Source organism: Homo sapiens, chromosome 9, assembly GCF_000001405.40.
Source record: "Homo sapiens chromosome 9, GRCh38.p14 Primary Assembly".
In the NCBI taxonomy this organism is placed as follows: Eukaryota; Metazoa; Chordata; class Mammalia; order Primates; family Hominidae; genus Homo; species Homo sapiens.
In genome coordinates this window covers 35,185,602-35,209,105 of record NC_000009.12, presented here as the reverse complement: position 1 = coordinate 35,209,105, position 23,504 = coordinate 35,185,602, and the positions used below count along the sequence as shown (strand labels likewise).

At 41.0% G+C, this 23,504-nt stretch overlaps 1 protein-coding gene across 9 annotated transcripts in view, besides 1 other annotated feature; it reads right to left on the bottom strand.

Moving 5' to 3' along the window:
• UNC13B (unc-13 homolog B) overlaps positions 1–23,504 on the bottom strand; it is a 243,327-nt gene that overhangs the window by 196,230 nt on the left and 23,593 nt on the right. The window lies entirely within an intron of this gene.
• Positions 15,000–15,294: an enhancer, noted in NCBI's record as "tiled region #3537; K562 Activating DNase unmatched - State 12:CtcfO, and HepG2 Activating DNase matched - State 12:CtcfO". NCBI's record gives its function as "activates a minimal TATA promoter and a strong SV40 promoter by Sharpr-MPRA in K562 cells, with weaker activity in HepG2 cells {active_cell/tissue: K562 | HepG2}" and the evidence as "EXISTENCE:reporter gene assay evidence [ECO:0000049][PMID:27701403]".

The window sequence follows — 23,504 nt, the reverse complement described above, 5'->3', positions numbered from 1 at the left end:
GTGACACAGCAAGACCCTGTCTCAAATAAGCAAACAAACAAACAAACAAAGTGGAAAGGAAAGCATAATGTGAGGGAGACATATTGTTAAGTGAGAAAATTATAGATAATTTTAATCATTTTGTGAAACAGGACACTTTTATTAATTGCAAGGTGGATAAACAGTGAAAAACAGATTTTGTAAGAGAATTCCAAGTAGTAAAGTCAGTAAGGATCATAAATTGGAAAGTCAATGAAAAGCAACAAAAATATTCCTTGAAACTATCAGAGTGATATGGTTTCGATTTGTGTCCCCACCCAAATCTCATGTTGAATTGCAATCCCCAGTGTTGGAGGTGGGGCCTGGTGGGAGGTGACTGGATCATGGGGGTGGAGTTCTCATGAAAGCTTTAGCCTTTAGCACCATCCTCTTTGTGCTGTTCTGGTGATGGCAAGTGAATGAGGAGTTATGAAATCTGGTTGTTTTAAAAGTGTGTAGCACCTCCCCACTCTTGCTCTTGCTTCTGCCATGTAAGATGTCTCTGCCTCCCTTTCGCCTTCCACCATGATTGTAGGTTTCCTGGGGCTTCCCCAGAAGCAGAAGTGCCACCATGCTTCCTGTACAGCCTGCAGAACTGTGAGCCAATTAAACCTCTTCTTTATAAATTACCCAGTCTCAGGTATTTCTTTATAGCAGTACGAGAACAGACTAATACAGAGTAATAGTCTAAAGAGTATGAAAGGGCAGATCTATTTCAGATTGTGCCCCCTCCCTAATTGCATTTTATTATATGAATTCCAAGGAGTCACTGAATGTTCCAAGAAGGGTATTATTTCATCTCAAAATTAGATGGGTGCCTTATTAAAAGGGAAAGCAAATCTGAAAGCAATTGGTCTAGAGTTCTGCTTTGAACAGGGTCTACAGAATAAGGAACAAACAGCAGGGATGGCAGGTAGACTTGCAGAGGTATCGTTCCAGAAAGGGGAGTTTACAAGTTGGCAAAGTAACACGCTCTTTTATCCACAGACTTAAAAATGACAGTTATCTACTGGCTGATAGAGATATCCAAGATGTATTTTAAGTAAAAATACATAATACATTTTGTAAAAGCAAACCAAAAACCTCACATGACATACAAAAATTAACTTAAAAATGTATCAAAGATCTGACTATAATAGCTGAAAGTATACAAACTCTTGCAATGGTTTCTTAGCTATAATGCCCAAAGCACAAGCAACCAAAGAAAAAATATGTAGATAAATTAGTCTTCATCAAAATTAAAACTTTTGCACTTTAAAGGATACTATTAAGAAAGCGAAAAGCACAGAATGGGAGACAATGTTTGCAAGTAATATATCTAATAAGAGTTTTGTATCTAGCATATACATAAAGAACACATACAATTCAATAAAAAGACAAATAATCCAATTTTTAAATGGGCAAAGGATCTGAATAAATATTTCCCCAAAGAAGATATACAAATGGCCAATGAGGCCAGGCATAGTGGCTTACACCTGTAAGCCCAGCACTTTGGGTGGCCTAGGTGGGAGGATCACTTGGGCCCAGGAGTTCGTGACTAGCCTGGGTAACACAGGGAGATCCCCATCTCTACTAAATAAATAAATAAATAAATAAATAAATAAATAAAAATTAATTTCTTCTCTGCAGAGTTCATAGAAAAAAATATTTTTTTTTAATTAGCCAAGCGTGGTGGTGGTGCACACCTGTAGTCCCAGCTACTCAGGAGACTGGAGTGGGAGTACTGCTTGAGCCCAGAAGTTCAAGGTTGCAGTGAGCTATGATCCAACCACTGCATTCCAGCCTGAGTTACAGAATAAGACTCCATGTCAAAAAATAAATAAAAATAAATAAATGGTCAATAAATACATGAAAATATGCATAACAACCACTAGTCATTAGGGAAATGTAAATCAAAACCACAGTAAGATATCATTTCACACCCATTAGGATGACTTAAAAGACAGATAATAGTAACTTTGAGCTTGAATGTGGAAAAGGTGGAACCATCATATACTGCTGGTGGGAATCCACAATGATACAGCCACTTTGAAAAATAGTGCACACAGAAATATGCCACACAGGAACATGTACACAAGTGTATCTAGCAGCATTATACATAACATCCAAACAGCAGAAACAACCCAAATGTCCATGAACTAATGAATGGGTAAACAAACTGTGGTAATATCCATACACTAGAGTTTTTGTGTGTGTGTTTTTTTTTTTTTTTTTTGAGATGGAGTCTCACTCTGTCACCAGGCTGGAGTGCAGTGGCGCGATCTCAGCTCACTGCAAACTCCGCCTCCTCAGTTCAAGTGATTCCCCTGCTTCAGCCTCCCGAGTAGCTGGGACTACAGGTGTGCGACACCACACCCAGCTAATTATTGCACTTTTAGTAGAGATGGGATTTCACCATGTTGGCCAGGATGGTCTCGATCTCTTGACCTCGTGATCCACCTGCCTTGGTCTCCCAAAGTGCTGGGATTACAGGTGTGAGCCACTGTGCCACACCCGGCCTACACTATGGTATTATTCAATCATTAAAAAGAATGACATGCTGATACAAACCACCATATGGATGAACCCTAAAAAATTATGCTAAGTTAAAAAAGCCAGTCACAAGGACCATAAATTATATGATACCTTTTAGATGACATAACCAGAACTGCAAAATCCATAGAGACAGAAGACAGATTAGTGGTTACCAGGGGATAGAGGGAAAGGGAGTGATTATTTAATGTGTATGGGTATTTTTCTTGGGATGATGAAAAAATTTTGGAAGTAGAGAGACACAATAATTGCATGACACTGTGAACATACTAAAAGCCACTGAATTGCACACTTTCAAATAGTTAATTGTATGTTATGTGACTATCACCTCAATTTTTAATTTTTTTTAATTTTTATTTTTGAGACAGGGTCTCCCTCTGCTGCTCACTCCAGCCTGGACAACAGAGGGAGTGGCACAATCTCAGCTCACTACAACCTCTGCCTCCCAGGCTTAGTGATCCTCCTACCTCCCAGCCTCCAAGTAGCTGGGACTAGAGGCATGTGCCACTATGCCCAGCTAATTTTTGCATTTTTTTTAGAGATGGGGTTACATCATGTTGCCCAACCTGGTCTCAAACTCCTGGGCTCAAGCAATCCATCCACCTCAGCCTCCCAAAGTACTGAGATTACAAGCATGAGCCACTGTGCCCAGCCTCACCTCAAGTTTTAAAAAATCCACACAAAATTTTATACACAAATGTTCATACCAGCATTACTCATTACAGTCCAAAAGTGGAAACAATGCAATGTCCATCAACTGATGAATGAATAAACAAATTATAGTATACCCATATAATGGAATATTATTCAGGCATAAAAAGGAACAATGTACTGATACACACTACAACTTGGATGAACCTAAAAAAATGATGTTAAGTGAAAGAAAGCAGCTACAAAAGACTACATATTATATTATTCCATTCACATAAAATGTCCAGAATGAGTAATTCTACAAAGACAGAAAGTAGATTCGTGGTTTCCCAGTTGGAGGAACCTCCCTAGTGGGAGGTTGGAGAAAATGGAAATGATTGCTAATGGCTAAGAGGTTTCTTTCTTACAGTGATAATAATATTCTAAAATTTATTGTGGTGACAGTTACACAACTCTGTGAATACATTAAAAACCACTGGATTTATACTTTAAAGGGATGAATTGCATGGTATGCAAACTACACCTCAATAAAGCTATTTTTTTTAAAGTAAACCAAAAGGGCATGTATATATGTGTGTGTGTTTGTGTGTGTGTATTAGTCTGTTCTTGTATTGCCATAAATACCTGAAACGTGGTGATTTATTTAAAAAAGAGGTTTAATTGGCTCACAGTTCCACAGGCTATACAGGAAGCACGGCTGGGGAAGCCTCAGGAAGCTTACAATCAAGGTATAAGGTGAAGGGAGATATAGCACTTCACATGGCCAGAGCAGGAGGAAAAGAGTGAGGGGTGAGGTGCTATACACTTTTAAATAACCAGATCTCATGAGAACTATAACAAGAATAGCACCAAGGGATGGTGTTAACCCATTCATGAGAACTCCACCCCATTATCCATCACCTCCCATTAAGCCCCACCTCCAACACTGGGGATTACAATTCAACATGAGATTTGTGGGAGGCACAGAGGCAAACCATATCATTCTGCCCCTGGCCTCTCCAAATCTCATGTCCTTCTCACACTACAAAATATAATCATGCCTTCCCAACAGTCCTCCAAAGTCTTAACACATTCCAGCATTAACTCAAAGGTCCAAAATCCAAAGTGACATCTGAGACAAGGCAAGCCCCTTCCAGCTATGAGACTGTAAAATCAAACACATTAGCTACTTTGAAGATATAATGGGGGTACAGGCATTGGGTAAATACTCCACTTTGAAAGGAGAAATTGGGCAAAAGAAAGGGGTCATAGGCCCCACGCAAGTCCCAAACCCAGTAGGCAGTCATTAAATCGTAAAGCTCCAAAATAATCTCCTTTGACTCCATGTCTCACATCCAGGGCACACTGATGCAAGGAGTGGGCTCCCAAGGCCTTGGAAAGTTCCAAATCTTTCCAGGATTCAGCCTTCAGAGTTGCTCTCACAGGCTGGCGTTGAGTGCCTGTGGCTTTTCCAGGCACAGTGTGCAAGTTGCCAATGGATCTACCATTCTAGGTTCTCAAAGACAGTGGCCCTCTTCTCACAGCTCCACTAGGCAGTGCCCCAGTGTGGACTCTGTGGGGGGGCTCCCACCCCACATTTCCCCTCTGCACTGCACTAGTAGAGGTTCTCCATGAGGGCTCAAACCCTGCACTAGGCTTCAGCCTGGACATCCAGGCTTTTCCATACATCCTCTGAAATCTAGATGGAGGCTCCCAAGCCTCAACTCCTGCACTCTGTGCATCCACAGGCTTAACACCAAGTGTAAACCACCAAGGCTTACAGTTTACACTCTCTGAAGCAGCAGCCCAAGCTATACCTGGGCCCTTCTGAGCCCAGCTGGTGCTAGAGATGCCAGGATGCACAGAGCAGTGCTCCAGGATGCATGGAGCTGTGCAGTGCAGCAAGGCCCTGGGCCTAGCCAAGAAAATCATTCTTCCTTCCTAGGCCTCTGGGCCTGTGATGGGAGAGGCTGCCACAAAGTTCTCTGAAACGCCTTCAAGGTCTTTTCCTCGTTGTCTTGAAAAATTAGCACTTGGCTGCTCTTTACTTAGGCAGATTTCTGCAGCCTGATTGAATTCCTCCACTGAAAATGGGGTTTTTCTTTTCTACCACATGGCTAGGCTACAAATTTCCCAAACTTTCATGCTCTGCTTCCCTTTTAAATAAGTTCCAGTTTCAGGTCATTTCCTTGCTCATGCATATGAATGCAGGCTGTTAGAAGCAGCCAGGCCACATCTTGAATACTCTGCTGGTTGGAAATTTCTTCCACCACATACCCTAAATCATCACTTTCAAGTTCAAATTTCCACAGATCCTGTTGAAATGAAGGAAAAAATGTTAAGGGAGCCAGAGAGAAAGGTCGGGTTACCCTCAAAGGGAAGCCCATCAGACTAACAGCAGATCTCTTGGCAGAAACTCTACAAGCCAGAAGAGAGTGGGGGGCCAATATTCAACATTCGTAAAGAAAAGAATTTTCAACCCAGAATTTCATATCCAGCCAAACTAAGCTTCATAAGTGAAGGAGAAATAAAATCCTTTACAGACAAACAAATGCTGAGAGATTTTGTCACCACCAGGCCTGCCTTATAAGAGCTCCTGAAGGAAGCACTAAACATGGAAAGGAACAACCAGTACCAGCCACTGCAAAAACATGCCAAATTGTAAAGACCATCGATGCTAGGAAGAAACTGCATCAACTAACAAGCAAAACAACCAGCTAACATCATAATGACAGGACCAAATTCACACATAACAATATTAACCTTAAATGTAAATGGGCTAAATATTCCAATTAAAAGACACAGACTGGCAAATTGGATAAGAGTCAAGACCCGGCCGGGCATGGTGGCTCACACCTGTAATCCCAGCACTTTGGGAGGCCAAGGTGGGTGGATCACGAGGTCAGGAGATCGAGACCATCCTGGCTAACATGGTGAAAACCCGTCTCTACTAAAAATACAAAAAATTAGCCGGGCACGTTGGCAGGCGCCTGTTGTCCCAGCTACTCAGGAGGCTGAGGCAGGAGAATGGCGTGAACCTGGGAGGCAGAGCTTGCAGTGAGCTGAGATCACGCCACTGCACTCCACCCTGGGTGACAGAGCGAGACTCTGTCTCAAAAAAAAAAAAAAAAAGTCAAGACCCATCAGTGTGCTGTATTCAGGAGACCCATCTGACAGGCAGAGACACATATAGGCTCAAAATAAAGGGATGGAGGAAGATCTACCAAGCAAATGGAAAACAAAAAAAAGCAAAGGTTGCAATCCTAGTCTCTGACAAAACAGACTTTAAACCAACAAAGATCAAAAGAGACAAAGAAGGCCATTACATAATGGTAAAGGGATCAATTCAACAAGAAGAGCTAACTATCCTAAATATATATGCATCCAATACAGGAGCACCCAGATTCATAAAGCAAGTCCTTAGAGACCTACAAAGAGACTTAGACTCCTACACAATAATAAGGGGAGACTTTAACACCCCACTGTCAACGTTAGACAGCTCAATGAGACAGAAAGTTAACAAGGATATCCAGGAATTGAACTCACCAAGAATTGAACTCTGCACCAAGCGGACCTAATAGACGTCTACAGAATTCTCCACCTCAAATCAACAGAACATACATTATTTTCAGCACCACATCATACTTATTCCAAAAGTGACCACATGTTTGGAAGTAAAGCACTCCTCAGCAAATGTAAAAGAACAGAAATTATAACAAACTGTCTCTCAGACTACAGTGCAATCAAACTAGAACTCAGGATTAAGAAACTCACTCAAAACCGCTCAACTACATGGAAACTCAACAACCTGCTCCTGAATGACTACTGGATGCATAACAAAATGAAGGCAAAAATAAAAATGTTCTTTGAAACCAATGGAACAAAGACACAACATACCAGAATCTCTGGTACACATTTAAAGCAATGTGTAGACGGAAATTTATAGCACTAAATGCCCACAAGAGAAAGCAGGAAAGATCTAAAATTCACACCCTAACGTCACAATGAAAAGAACTAGAGAAGCAAGAGCAAACACATTCAAAAGCTAGCAGAAGGCAAGAAATAACTAAGATCAGAGCAGAACTGAAGGAGATAGAGACACAAAAAACCCTTCAAAAAAAAATCAATGAATCCAGGAGCTGGTTTTTTGAAAAGATCAACAAAATTGATAGACCGCTAGCAAGACTAATAAAGAAGAAAAGAGAGAAGAATCAAATAGACGCAGTAAAAAATGATAAAGGGGATATCACCACCGATCCCACAGAAATACAAACTACCATCAGAGAATAATATAAACACCTCTATGCAAATAAACTAGAAAATCTAGAGGAAAAGGATAAATTCCTCGACACATACACTCTCCCAAGACTAAACCAGGAAGAAGTTGAATCCCTGAATAGACCAATAACAGGCTCTGAAATTGAGGCACTAATTAATAGCCTACCAACCAAAAAAAGTCCAGGACCAGATGGATTCACAGCTGAATTCTACCAGAGGTACAAAGAGAAGCTGGTACCATTCCTTCTGAAACTATTCCAATCAATAGAAAAAGAGGGAATCCTCCCTAACTCATTTTATGAGGCCAGCATCATCCTGATACCAAAGCCTGGCAGAGACACAACAAAAACAGAGAATTTTAGACCAATATCCTGATGAACATCAATGCAAAAATCCTCAATAAAATACTGGCAAACCGAATCCAGCAGCACATCTAAAAGCTTATCCACCATGATCAAGTGGGCTTCATCCCTGGGATGCAAGACTGGTTCAACATACACAAATCAATAAACGTAATCCATCATACAAACAGAACCAAAGACAAAAACCACATGATTATCTCAATAGATGCAGAAAAGGCCTTCGACAAAATTCAACAGCCCGTCATGCTAAAAACTCTCAATAAATTAGGTACTGATGGGACATATCTCAAAATAATAAGAGCTATCTATGACAAACCCACAGCCAATATCATACTGAATGGGCAAAAACTGGAAGCCTTCCCTTTGAAAACTGGCACAAGACAGGGATGCCCTCTCTCACCACTCCTATTCAACATAGTGTTGGAAGTTCTGGCCAGGGCAATCAGGCAAGAGAAAGAAATAAAGGGTATTCAATTAGGAAAAGAGGATGTCAAATTGTCCCTGTTTGCAAATGACATGATTGTATATCTAGAAAACCCCATCATCTCAGCCCAAAATCTCCTTAAGCTGATAAGCAACTTCAGGAAAGTCTCAGGATACAAAATCAATGTGCAAAAATCACAAGCATTCCTATACACCAATAACAGACAAACAGTAAGCCAAATCATGAGAGAACTCCCATTCACAATTGCTTCAAAGAGAATAAAATACCTAGGAATCCAACTTACAAGGGATGTGAAGGACCTCTTCAAGGAGAACTACAAACCACTGCTCAACAAAATAAAAGAGGACACAAACAATGGAAGAACATTCCATGCTCATGGATAGGAAGAATGAATATTGTGAAAATGGCCATACTGCCCAAGGTAATTTATAGATTCAATGCCATCCCCATCAAGCTACCAATGACTTTCTTCACAGAATTGGAAAAAACTACTTTAAAGTTCATATGGAACCAAAAAAGAGCCTGCATTGCCAAGACAATCCTAAGCCAAAAGAACAAAGCTGGAGGCATCATGCTACCTGACTTCAAACTATACTACAAGGCTACAATAACCAAAACAGCATGGTACTGGTATCAAAACAGAGATATAGACCAATGGAACAGAACCCTCAGAAATAATACCACACATCTACAACCATCTGATCTTTGACAAACCTGACAAAAACAAGAAATGGGAAAAGGATTCCCTATTTAATAAATGGTGCTGGGAAAACTGGCTAGCCATATGTAGAAAGCTGAAACTGGATCCCTTCCTTACACCTTATACAAAAATTAATTCGAGATGGATGAAAGACTTACATGTTAGACCTAAAATCATAAAAACCCTAGAAGAAAACCTAGGCAATACCATTCAGGACATAGGCATGGGCAAGGACTTCATGACTAAAACACCAAAAGCAATGGCAACAAAAGCCAAAATTGACAAATGGGATCTAATTAAACTAAAGAGCTTCTGCACAGCAAAAGAAACTACCATCAGAGTGAACAGGCAACCTACAGAATGGGAGAAAATTTTTGCAATCTACTCATCTGACAAAGGGCTAATATCCAGAATCTACAAAGAACCTAAACAAATTTACAAGAAAAAATCAAACAACCCCATCAAAAAATGGGCAAAGGATATGAACAGACACTTCTCAAAAGACATTTATGCAGCCAACAGACACATGAAAAAATGCTCATCATCACTGGCCATCAGAGAAATGCAAATCAAAACCACAATGACATACCATCTCACACCAGTTAGAATGGCAATCATTAAAAAGTCAGGAAACAACAGGTGCTGGAGAGGATATGGAGAAATAGGAATGCTTTTACACTGTTGGTGGGACTGTAAACTAGTTCAACCATTGTGGAAGACAGTGTGGCGATTCCTCAAGGATCTAGAACTAGAAATACCATTTGACTCAGTCATCCCATTACTCGGCATATACCCAAAGGATTATAAATCATGCTGCTATAAAGACACAGGCACACGTATGTTTATTGCAGCACTATTCACAATAGCAAAGACTTGCAACCAACCTAAATGTCCATCAGTGATAGATCGGATTAAGAAAATGTGGCACATATACACCGTGGAATACTATGAAGCCATAAAAAAGGATGAGTTCATGTCCTTTGTAGGGACATGAATGAAGCTGGAAACCACCATTCTGAGCAAACTATCCCGAGGACAGAAAACCAAACACCGCATGTTCTCACTCATAGGTGGGAATGGACACAGGGTGGGGAACATCACACACTGGGGCCTGTCGTGCAGTAGGGGGAGCGGGGAGGGATAGCATTAGGAGTTATACGTAATGTAAATGATGAGTTAACGGGCGCAGCACACCAACATGGCACATGTATACATATGTAACAAACCTGCACGTTGTGCACATGTACCCTAGAACTTAAAGTATAATAATAATAATAAAAACAGTCCCTAGGTCCCCAGGGCAGAGACATAATGCCTCCAACCTCTTTGCTAACACATAACAAAACTGACTTTGCTCCAGTTCCCAGTAAGTTCCTCATCTCCATCTGAAAACTCCTCAGCCTGGCCTTCACTGTCCATATCACTATCAACATTTTGGTCACAACAATTTAACAAGTCTCTAAGACAGTCCAATTTTTCCCTCATCCTTCTATCTTCTTCTGAGCCCTCCACACTCGTCCAACCTCTGCCCATTACCCAGTTCCCAAGTCACTTTCACATTTTCAGGTATCTTTATAGCAATGCTTCACTCCTTGATACCAATTTTCTGTATTAGTCTGTTCTCGTACTGCTATAAAGAAATACCTGAGACTACATACTGTATAAAGAAAAGAGATTTAATATTTAATTAGCCCACAGTTCTGTAGGCTGTACAGGAAGCATCACAGCATCTGCTTCAGGAAACGTATGATCATGGCAGAAGGCCAAGGAGAAGCAGGCGCATATTACATGGCCAGAGCAAAAGGAACAGAGAGAGGGAGAAGATACCACACACCTTAAAAAAATCACATCTCAAGAGAACTTACTCACTCACAGGAGAAAAGCACCAAGCAGATGGTGCTGACCTATTCATGAGAACTCCGCTCCCATGATCCATCACCTACCACCAGGCTCCACCTCCAAAACTGGGGATTACAATTCGACGTGAGATTTGGTAGAGACATAGATCCAAATCCTATCAATATGCTTGAACACATGTTATGAATAGGAAGATAAGTATGGAAAGATATACACCAAGTGGGGTGTTAACATTATTACCTTAACTGATAAGATTTAAACAGATGTGTAGATATGTTTTTTAAAGTTTTTAAATCCTTATATATCTCCTAATGGTTCGCATATTGTATTAGTCTGTTCTCACATTGCTATAAAGAACTATCTGAGACTGGGTAATTTATTTAAAAAAGAGGTTTCATTGGTTCACAGTTCCACAGGCTGTACAGGAAGCATGGCAAGGGATGCCTCAGGAAACTTAGGATCATGGCGGAAGGCAAAGGGGAAGCAGGCACATCTTACCCGGTTGGAGCAGGAGGGAGAGAAGGTGGGAGAGGTACTACAAATTTAAACAACAAGATCTCATGAGAACGAACTCACTGTCACAAGAACAGCAAGGGGGAAGTCCGCCCCCATGGCCCATCACCTCCCACCAGGCCCCTCCTCCAACGTTAGGGATTACAATACAATTCGACATGAGATTTGAGTGGGGACACAAATCCAAACCGTATCACATATTAAAATAAGCAGGTGTTCTGAAAACATATCACATATTAAAACAAACAGGGGTTTTGAAAAATGGCTGGGTGTAGTGGCTCTGGCCTGTAATCCCAACACTTTGGGAGGCTGAGGCAGGCAGATCACTTGAGGCCAGGAGTTCAAGACCAGCCTGGCCAACATGGTGAAACCCCATCTCTCCTAAAAATACAAAAACTAGCCGGGTGTGGGGGCACACACCTGTAGTCCCAGCTACTCAGGAGACTGAGGTGGGAGGATTGCTTGAACCTGGAAGGCGGAGGCTGTAGTAAGCCAAGATCACACCACTGCCCCCCAGCCTCGGTGAGAGAGCGAGACTCTGTCTCAAAAAAAAGAAAAAAGGAAAACATTAAATATTTAAATAAGAAAGCACTATATTGCTCAATCAATATCAACTACTTCCTCAAGACTGTTAAAAAATACCAGATTGAATAAACTTGATATTCATCTAATTATGAAGCTAATTTAAAATAAATATTTAGGCCAGGTTCAGTAGGTCAAGCCTGTCATCCCAACGTTTTGGGAGATTGAAGCAGGAGGAATGCTTGAGCACAGGAGCTCAAGACCAGCCTGGGCAACATAGGGAGATCCTGTCTCTACAAAAAAATTAAAAATTAGCTGGGCATGGTGGCACATGCCTGCAGTCTCAGCTTCTCTGGAGGCTGAGGTGGGAGGATTGCTTGAGCCTAGGAGGTCAAGGATGCAGTCAGCCATGATCGTACTACTGCACTCCAGCCTGAGCAACAGAGCAAGACCATGCCTCAAAAAAAGAAAATAAATAAATAAATAGATTTTTAAAAAGTAGTATTTTCAGAGTCAAAGCTGGGAGGTACTTCAGCACACAATTCCTGCCTCATCCATATTACTACTACAATATGTAAAAACAGAAAAGATGTGTGGAAAAGAAATATTCATTACAAAACACTGAGGTTCTTATAAAACTCCAGCCAATATGAAAACCCTGGAAGTCCGGGATAAAGAGAAAATGCCTGGGCAGAGCATCCTCCCCAAGATCTTTACAAGTAAAGGCAGAAATAGGAGAATATATAAGAACTGTACCTAACCCTCAAAAAAACATGTAACTTCCGCTCCTGAGTCTCTCTGACCTTGATATAGAACCAAAGCCACAAGGGATTATGGGAAATAATCCTATTCACACTGACTCTGCAGCCAGTGACCTGGTTCCTCAGGCACAGGGAATGGCTAACTTGCCTTGTTCTAGCCAGTTCTATGCATGGAACAATTTCCAAACATTGTGGCACTAGTTCCCTTGTTTGTAACCCATCTATTTCAGAATCTAGAAGTAAAAAGGTGTATCACCTCCCAAATACAATAACCACCATTTCTTATTTAAAACTTAACATTTTAAAAGATAGACATGAAAAACAAAAATACAATAACCACCATTTCTTATTTAAAACTTAACATTTTAAAAGATAGACATGAAAAACAAAAATACAATAACCACCATTTCTTATTTAAAACTTAACATTTTAAATGATAGAAATGAAAAAACAAAAGATAGGAATAGTATATAATCCCACTGCCCTGTATATATATGTATGCATGTATATGTGTATGTGTATTAGCATGGTTACAATAATTAATTTGCATATTCAGCTATATTTTTACATTTGTCAAATATTTGGACATAAAGATGGACCGTGACATCTCTCAGCCAACTGACCACAGTTGACTCAGCTGTTCTGACTGGCTAGCAAGATGTTTGTGAAGGAGGGGGAGGAAAAAAAACAACTCTAACAAAGCTGAATATTCTGTCTGTGCAGACAGATCTAGCTTTTTAAAACAGAATCCTCAGGACTAACTTTAAAAAGTATTTTTCAGGGCCAGTATGGCCCTCTGAGAATTATGAAAAAGGGTATTTGAGACCTTATGAACACCCTTTTCTTGGAAGGAAAAGGCTAAAATCAGAAATAAGGTAAAAAAGGCTAAAATCAGGGACAAGATTTAACAAAACAGCTATGAGGATGTAAACAAAAAAGTATCTGAGACAGATCTCAATCAATTTAGAGGTTACTTTTGCCAAGGTTAAGGACCCATGGCTTGTGACACAGCCTCAGGAGGTCCTGAGAACATGTGCCCAAGGTTTTTGGGTTACAGACTGGTTTTATACATTTTAAGGCAAAGACAAAAGTTGATACATGTTAAGTATACATTGGTTTGGCGTGGAAAGGGGGCACACTGATACAGGAGTTAAGAAGAACTCACTTAGGCAGATAATAAGGGTACAGAAGTCCTTGGTAAGGTTTTCCTTTTAATAAGAAGCAGCCCCAAATCATTTTCTAACAAAGAGCAGCCTGTAAAATCAAGCTGCAGACATACATGCTGGCAGGTGTGCCAATCATGTTCAAAATAGTGGCTCCATCTTCCCTTCTCTGTCAGCCATGTGTATAGTAAGGAGCAGACAAGATGGCATCAGCCAAGGGGAAAGTTCCATTTGCATTAAAAAGATTAGGGTGGGGTGGCCAGCCTTCCCTGAGTACTATGTAAAGCTCACACCTGATTGAACCAATTTGTGAGCCCTATGTAAATCAGACACTGCCTCCTTAAGACTATAAAATCCGGCACATCCGCCGCCAGTCCACCTTTTGCTCTCAGAATTCCCCTCTCACACTAGAGAGAGAGCTGTTTTCCTTTCTTTTTGTTTCTCTTTCTCTTGCCTATTAAACCTCCATTCCTAAACTCCTCGTATGTGTCCGTGTCCTAAATTTTTCTGGCACGAGATGACAGACGCTGGGTATTTACCCCAGACAACATAGCCAATCATGTCAGGGTGCTCACTCAGGATACCAAGGTACAACGCTCATCAAAACGGTGAGTAGAGGAGTGGAATCCAACTCTGTCCTTTCATTTTGGGGCTGTTGGCCTCCACTTTAGAACTAAATCAAATCAATAATGGGCATCTGTCAGCCAGTTAAAAACACGGTTAGCGTGGCTGCCATTCTTAAAGACTCAGATGTGAGATTTACTGGGAAGAAAATGGAGAATCCCCCAGCACCCATGGGTTGCTGGGCATGTTGGCCATGTTTGAACCAGCTTCCTTTCATGGAGGACTTAGCCATTGTGCGGGGCTGTAAGAGGTTCTAGAGCAACTGAGGATTTCTGGCTGGGGCTACCTTCAGGTGTTATCCAAAGGCTTCTGGACTGATCCCAGTCTCTGACCACCTGATGGGGTGTTGGCAACAGGATCTCCAACTTTTCTATCATAATTTCCTCCTTTCCTGTCTGCGACTGTCATATCTCCTATTCTCTCTGTGTATGCTATGTGAGCGAAGTTTTACAGTTCAGTTATTTTGTTTGGCAAGATCAGGAAACGTTGTAGGGGATATAGCTCAAGGGAAGGCGTCTTTGAGATTTTCTAGAAACAGAAGGCTCCCCCCGACAGTGAGCATCACTCTCTGCCCTTGGTCTGAAGAGTATATAGCATTTGCAGGTCTCTCCCTGCCCTTGGTCTGGAGAGCAAACGGAACTTCCAGGTCACTCTGCCCTTGGTCTGGAGAGCACGTGGCATTTCCAGGTCTCTCTCTGACCTAGGACTGGAGAGCACATGGCGTGTCAAGGTCACTCTGCCCTTGGTCTGGAAAGCACATGGCATTTCAAGGTCAACAGCACCATCTAGTGAAACAGGGATCCTCTTCATGAGGCACATTGTCAGTCCTTTACCAAAAACAGCCTAGCTTCCCAATTCTCTTCCCTTTTTGAGCCTCTCTACTACAAACCAGGCTTCATGCTGCTTCTGTAAATGGGAAAATTCTGGCTTCAACAACTAGGAATAAAACATCCTCCAAAACCAAATTTTATTCTTGATACTGCTCCATCAACAGGAAAACAGCCATTTAGTCCCTACAATCTTTTTTTTTTTTTTTTTTTTTTGAGACGGAGTCTTGCTCTGTCACCCAGGCTGGAGTGCAATTGTGCAGTCTCGGCTCAATGCAACCTCCACCTCCTGGGTTCAAGAGATTCTCCTGCCTCAGCCTCCTGAGTAGCTGGGATTACAGGCACAGGTGGATTACATGCCACCATGCCCAGCTAATTTTTGTATTTTTAGTAGAGACGGGGTTTCACCATGTTGGTCAGGCTGGTCTCGAACTCCTGACCTCATGATCCACCTGTCTCGGCCTACCAAAGTGCTGGGATTACAGGCATGAGCCACCACACTCAGCCCCTATGATCTTTTAAGGCACCTATTCTGCCTCCAATCAGAATGGTACTTAATTAGTAAGGGGATTTTAAGTTCAGAAGTTAACCAGAACCATTCTCTAAGGGTAAACACTTTAGCATGGACTGTAATAGCAGGATATAGAGCTCAAACCAGCACACTTCCTCCATTAAGGAGGGAAGTGCAACAATTGCCCAAATGCAACTGTCGCATAGTCTCTCCCAAGATCCATTTTTCAGGGAGCCAGGCAGGTCACACAAGTCTAGGAAGTCAAAGGAAATCACAGGCAGAGGACTTGAGTTGCATGAATCAGTGTGACTAATCCCAATCACTTAGTTCCTCTGGTTCCATGGCTGGGGGTCACACCTGCAACCATGGGTGGCACATTAAACAAGGTGCCAGGACCCAGAAACCGCAGAGGGAAAACAGCAGGAGGGACGTCCCCACTGTTTTCCTCTCCACCCTGGGTCACACCAAAAGGAAGGTGAAAAAAGAGATGCCTTTTTGTCACTTCTCTCTCTAGATGGGTAACAGATCATCTTCAGCTTGCACCCCTCTGGAGTACATTCTGAAGCACAAGGACTCCTTTGACTCTAATAATTTAAAGAAAAATCAACTCATTTTCTTTTGCACAAGGGCATGGCCTTACTAGACCTTTGCAGGTGTTACAAAATCAACCCAGCTCTTTTAGTAGTCATATCAGGCAGGCCAATAGCAAATGATTCACCAAAGTTAGAGAAGTAACTTCCAGGGGAACAATCTAAGGATCCCCCTTATTCAGGGGCCCCTCAAGTTCCCTTCTCATTACAGTACCTTAGGCAAATAAAGGGAGACTTAGGCCAATTCTCCAATGACCCTGATAGGTATATAGAAGCTTTCTGAAATTTAACTCAGGTGTTTAACCTCTCATGAAGGGATGTTATGCTGCTTCTAAGCCAAACCCCAAACTACAGCTGAAAAACAGGCAGTTCTGCAGAAGGCAGAGAATTTTGGAAATGTACAATATGTCTCCTATAATAAGCAAAAAGGGAAAAGAGAAAATAGAGAAGATCAAGAAATAGAGGAAACATCATTGTCGATAGGAAGGGAAGCAATACCTCTTAACAACTCTAACTGGAACCCCCAGACTTTTCTATGGTATTTTTCCTTCTTTTACAGCTTAAAATGGCTCCTATATGCTTTTATAATGTTCTTTCAACCTGGGAAAAGTTAATTTTCCAAACCTTAAAAATGCTTGGCTTAGAGTTGAGCTGGGGAAAAGGAACTAGAAGCCTGACATGTGGGCAAAAGGGTAAAATTTTCTTACCAGTCAGGCTTTTGGCTTCTCTCTCCCTATCCAAACTGGCAAAAGGGATAAGGATTATTGTTTATATTTGTGGTTAAGTTTTAATTAATGAAAAGGGATTTGTGAGGTTGGTCTTAAACTGTAGCCAATCTGGTGTGCTTCGTGTATCTTTCTGTATGGTCCTGTGGAAAGAAAGGGTACCTTAGGTTAAGATGCAGACCCAGGACCCTATAAGCCTGCTGTTCAAGCCAGTCCAACAAAATGGTCAGTAACAAACTTGGCTACAGGCCTCCATCTTGTTTCATGTACTTGGAAACATGACGTGTAACCACGTGGCAATACTTTGTTTTAGTCTCTGCCATTTTACAACGGTGGGTGTCTTGTGCTAAGTTAGTTCCCGGGGAAGGGCCAAAAATCAGATAAGCCAGTTTATCAATCTAGGCAGAGCCAGCTGATCCATCAAGGGCAGAGTTTACAAAATATCTTAAATACTGATCTTGGGCAGTTAAGGGAGGATAAAATCTTGTAGCCTCCAGCTGCGTGACTCCTAAGCCATGGTTTCTCATTTTGTGGCTAGTTTCTTGGTCTGGTCCCCAGGCAAGAGGGAAGTATATCTTAGGAAGGGGCTGTTACCACCTTTGTTTTAGACTATACACTGTAAACCAGACACCTCCCAAAGTTGGTTCAGCCTATGCCCAGTGATGAGCAAGGACAGCTTAGGGGCTAAAAACAAAATGGAGTTGGTTGGGTCTGATCTCTTTCACTGTCTCAGTCACAATTTTGCAATGAGAGTTTCAAAAGTTACTTATCACCCCTTTGAAAATACCTGATACCTGGCAGGGCACGGTGGCTCACGCTTGTAATCCCTGCACTTTGGGAGGCAGAGATCACCTGAGGTCAGGAGTTTGAGACCAGCCTGACCAACATGGTGAAACCCCATCTGTACTAAAACTACAAAAATTAGCTGGGTGTGGTGGCTGGCACCTGTAATCCCAGGTATTTGGGAGGCTGAGGCAGGAGAATCATTGGAACCCGGGAGATGGGAGTTGCGGTGAGCTGAGATGGCGCCACTGCACTCCAGCCTGGGCGACAGAGCGAGACTCTGTCTCAAAAAAAAAGAAAAAAGAAAATACCTTGTACACTGGAGGTTAAGTCATAAACTAATTAAGGCTTGTTGGTCTCACCTGTGAGGTTACTTTTTGTGACATTCAAAAGCTGAAAATCTTAACTGCTTGGTGTGGCTAAAGTTTAGTAACAAGGGATTTAAAAGGATTTTCTGAAAGAGTGCTCAGCTTAATTAAAAGTGGATATCCCAGTTATAGATATACTTAAAAGGCTATTATGTTTTTCTCTTCTTGGATCATGTTTTTCTGGAAAAAGTCTTTTTTCTTTTTAGTCGACTGAATTATTTTTCTCCATTTTTTGTCTTGCCACTCTTAATGCACATATGACAGGCCCTAAGATAACTTCCGGTAGCCGGGGACTCCTTGGGAAAAACAGAGGAGGCACTACAGACCCTGTTTTGGGGGAGGGGGGGAAGAAAAAAAAACTGTTTTCCTCATGAAACCCCAGGAATTAAAAGCAGATCATTCCCTCTCAAAATCAAAGGCTCAGTTCTGTTTTGCATTGTGTTATCTGATAGTTTTGAGTTTTGGGGATATCAAATTACTTCACATTATGAGAGAGCTTTGGTGTGTAATAACTAGGTAGGAGATATACTTTAAGGAATGGCTAATAGTAGTTATGGAGGGATACTTAACTCTGCACATTTGAGTCAGAGAAGCATGCTCTTGGCCACCTATAAGATATGGAAACATCCCCACCCCCTATTGAGAGATAAGACTCCCATGAGGGATGGGCCGATTACAAAATAAGCCAATTGGCTTTGGGTTGCCTTGAAATGAAATGCACAGTAGAAGCACTGCACTCTCTTCTTCCACAGTATCTCCCACCTTTGGGGGATCCAAGATCCAGTATAAAATGGCGCCGTTAATTTTGCGGATCTTTCTTTGCCTTCAGCTGTGCCTGCTTCTTAGGCCCTAAAAGGCATGCTATCCTGGCCCTGTTCCTCCAAGGGCTCCATCCTGAAACGAGTAATCCAATTAAGAAACTGGCAGGTCGGGCATGGTGGCTCACGTCTGTAATCTCAGCACTTTGGGAGGCCGAGGTGGGCGGATCACCTGAGGTTGGGAGCTCAAGACCATCCTGACCAACATGGAAAAACCCCATCTCTACTAAAAATATAAAAAATTATCCGGGTGTGGTGGTGCATGCTTGTAATCCCAGCTACTCAGGAGGCTGAGGCAGGAGAATCGCTTGAACCTGGGAGGCGGAGGTTGCGGTGAGCCGGGATCACGCCTTTGCACTCCAGCCTGGACAACAAGAGTGAAACTCTGTCTCAAAAAACAGAAAAAAAGAAACTGGCAAATGAAAAATGTTACAAGTGCTGAATCTTCTATTTGTGTTGCTATATGTGTGTTGTGTGTAATGTCTATAAAAAGAGCTCTAATTGGGTTAAAGAAAAATAAGCACTTAAATATTTTTTAGTTCACATGACTGTAATCTTTAAGAAATAAAAATAGTCTGAAGAATTGGTAAAATGCAAGTGTCGTCAAAATGCAAATAGGTGGTCTAAATCATACAGCTTAGATACTAGGTTTGCTAAATGTTCCAAATTGCCTGCTTTACAGATAGGTAAGGCCTGGGACACGTGAAAGTTAGATGCTGAAGAGGGTCAGACCTTATCTGCACTTCTGTCTGGGTCCTAGGCTCCACACCTGGTACATAATTAAAAACACTTACTAAACAGGTTTTTCACCAAAAGTAAAAGTTGCTAAGAGTTAACAGTGCCACATGTATTTGAGGTCACTAAACAGTTTTACATGCAAGGCGTATAAAAACAGTAAAATGCGTTTTTTAGTAAAAGATTATAAGAATGCATGGAAATGTAAATTTTGCCCAGGTATGAGGGATTATCTTAAATTTGATAAGATAAAGCTAGAGGTTTAAGCAAGTTACAGAAAGATTGTAAAAATTAATCTTGCAAACAATGTGTAAACATTAAATCCAAAAGGGCATTATACGGTCTTCTCATAAATTGAGTATTGAAATAAAAGTATAGCAAGGTTGTCTAAAGATGCTAATCTGCCCTTTAGTAAAAAGGGTTATAAAAGGTTTGTAAAGATTGCACCTCATGGTCAAATTGGTTAAAATTAGATGGAATCATCTATAAGGTTTCATTTCAACAAACTGGGGCTAACATTAATTAACTAATGCAAGGGTAAATTTTGACTTTGAATAGGATTTTCATGTAATAGTAAAGGTTAATAGAAGGTTTTTGCCTTTTGAGTCATTTTGGCAAAATAAGCAATTTATGGCGATCTGAAATTCTATTTCATAACATCAAGTATTTTAAACCTCTGACATTTAACAGGTGTCCCAAAATCAAACTTCAAGTTTCAAAATTGTCTTTCCTGATGCCTGGCTTTCTGGATGGTTCAGAGGCCCCTGAAAAATCCAGAGAAGAGGTACACAGTATTATTTGGCATGTTTTGTCACATAAGATTGCCAAAATGATGTCCGATATTCTTTAAGTTATATTTTGGTGAATACTAATATATGTTCCAAAATTGCATGTGACTTCTAAAATTCTAATGTCTAAGTATATGCTATCAATTATAATTAAGGTTAAAGTTATTGTAAATCACAGAGATAACTAAACTTATTTGTCAGTCTTGCTTTTAACTATAACTACCTTGGAAATTTTGTCATTCGCAGACAATTGTTGTCTTGCTTTGTTCTTTCTCAAAAGATGGTTTATAATCAAGCTACAGGACTTTAACAGGTGTTCTCAAATGTGAGTTTTTTTAATAGCTTTAAAGATTGTAACACGGAATAAAGAAAAAAAGTACAGGACTATGAAGAACTAAAATGCTCATGTATATCAAGCAAAATAAGAGTTAACTAAATGGACTGCACTCACAAAGCTAAAGCAAACTTTCTGACTTTTGCTTGGAATATTGCTGATCCTTGTTTTGTTTTTCAGAGTCAATGAAACTTATTTTGAACTACTTATGGCCTTTAATAATTGAGTAAGTTATACTCTTGTGAACAAAATTTGGAGTATGTTTGTTTCTCTCTGCCTAGTTCCTCTAGAATTTGGAAACTATTTAAGGAGTCAATCTAGACTTGCAGAGCCAATAAAAGCCCCATGAGAAGAACTGGCCTCATACCCTTACCTACACAGTCCCCGTCCAGGGTTTCTGACCTGTAGTCAGTAAAGAATGCCACTTTCTAACAGATCCAGGAGCTCCAAGTTTATCTTGGGACCTTAAGAGGAGGGGATCACCCAACTCACAGGTATTTGAGGATATAAACCCATGGCTGGGTTCAGCTCTAAGAGGTTTTATCTAAAATTCCTTGTGGATCAGAGTTCCATCAAAGCCAATTCAAAAGGCCTATGTAGAAATCATTCTTTCTGCACCTTATGCAAATAATCAGGCCAAGTATAAGACTAAAGTTTATTATACAAACAACACAATCCTATCATAATTTGTTTTTACCTAAAATAAAGACTGGAGAGAGAAAAATTATGCTCCAAAGCTTATCATCCATTTGTCACTAAATTCTAGTCTCAATGATTGTTTTTAAGTTTTTTTGACTACATTTTAGACTAATCCCGCTTATTCCTGTGAATCAAGTGGTGATCTCCTGAAGCCTGGAAGAAACAGAAAGGAATGGGCAATGTAAAAAGCTGGATCAATATGCTAGTTCTGGGCAATTATCCTGCAACATCTGCCAGGTAATGAAAGTGAATAGGGTGCCCATAACCCAGATGTTTCTGTTTGGGAAAATAAAACCAAGAAACTTCATAGATCCCCAAAGGGAGATTCTATATCTTGGCAAGTAAAATTTTACATGGAAATTATCTACTGTACCACACTTGCAGGAATTGCTATACTCACTTTACTATTTGCAGTAAGACCTATAGATGGTAGCACCTTCTAACCGGAATATCGGACAGAGAATTTCCATTGCTGTAGTATTTTGCTTAATTATTATCCTAATAGCAGAGATAATGGTTCCCAACGAAAAGGAAGCATGATAGTTTTACTATCACTGAGTCTGCAAGAACTTCTTATTGGGTTTGGTAATATGTCACACCCTGGCTATACAAAGAAGGTTATAAAGGGAAGAAATTTTTATATAAGGAAGCATCTCGTGGCCGGGCGCGGTGTTCCTTTCTCTGCCAGCCACATGTACAGTAAGGAGCAGACAAGATGGCACCAGACAAGGGGAAAGTTCATTTGCATAATAAGATTAGGGTGAGGTGGCCAGCCTTCCCCATGTGCTATGTAAACATCATACTTGATTGAACCAATCTGTGAGCCCTATGTAAATCAGACACCGCCTTCTCAAGACTGACTATAAAATCTGACACATCTGCCACCAGTCAGCTTTTTCCTCTTGGAAGTCCCCTCTCTCTCACTAGAGAGAGAACTGTTTTCCTTTCTCTTTGTTTCTCTTTCTTTTGCCTATTAAATTCTGCTCCTAAACTCCTCATGTGTATCTGTGTCCTAAATTTTCCTGGTGCAAGATGACAAACCCCAGGTATTTACCGCAGACAACACAGATTCTTCAACATCTCAAAGTGGGACAGCGGGTGGGAGGACCTTCCAGGTCATAAGTGGATTGAAAGATTTCCTGGTTGCCAAATGGTTGGAAGTTAAGCCCTGCCTGAAGAGTTGAATTCAGCATAAAGAAAATGCTTGAGTTTAGATAAGGGAGCCGTGAAAGCCAAGATTTTCATCATGTAGATGAAACCTCCAGGTAGCAGGCTTCAGAGAGAATAGGTGGTGAATGTCTCTTATCAGACCTTAAGAGATGTCAGATCTAGTAGGGTCTACACCTAGTAGGGTGCTATGAAGAGTCATGTTTTGTCAGTCTTAACATCTCTGTTTTAATGTTAATGCTGGTCAGTTGTGTCTAAACTCCAAAGGGAACACTGTATGATGAGGCATATCAGATGCCCCTTCTCCTTATGCCCTGAAGTAGTTTTTCAGGTTTCTTTGGGTTTCCCTTGGCCAAGGGGGGAGGTCCATTCAGCCAGCTGGAGGGCTTAGAGTTTTATTTTACTGTGTTGTTTTTTTTTTTTCTTTTTTCTTTTTTTGAGGTAGAGTCTCGCTCTGTCGCCCAGGCTGGACTGCAGTGGCATGATCTCGGCTCACTGCAGTCTCTACATCTAGAGCTCAAGAAATCCTCCCTCCTCAGCCTCCCAAGTATCTGGGAATACAGACATGTGCCACCATTTTTTTTTTTTTTGTATTTTAATAGAGATGGGGTTTCATCATGTTAGGCCAGACTGGTCTCGAACTCCTGGCCTCAAGTGATCCGCCCACCTCGGCCTCCCAAAGTGCTGGGATTACAGGCATGAGCCAGCATGCCCAGCCTAGAATTTTATTTTCGGATTATAGAGAGTTCTTTTA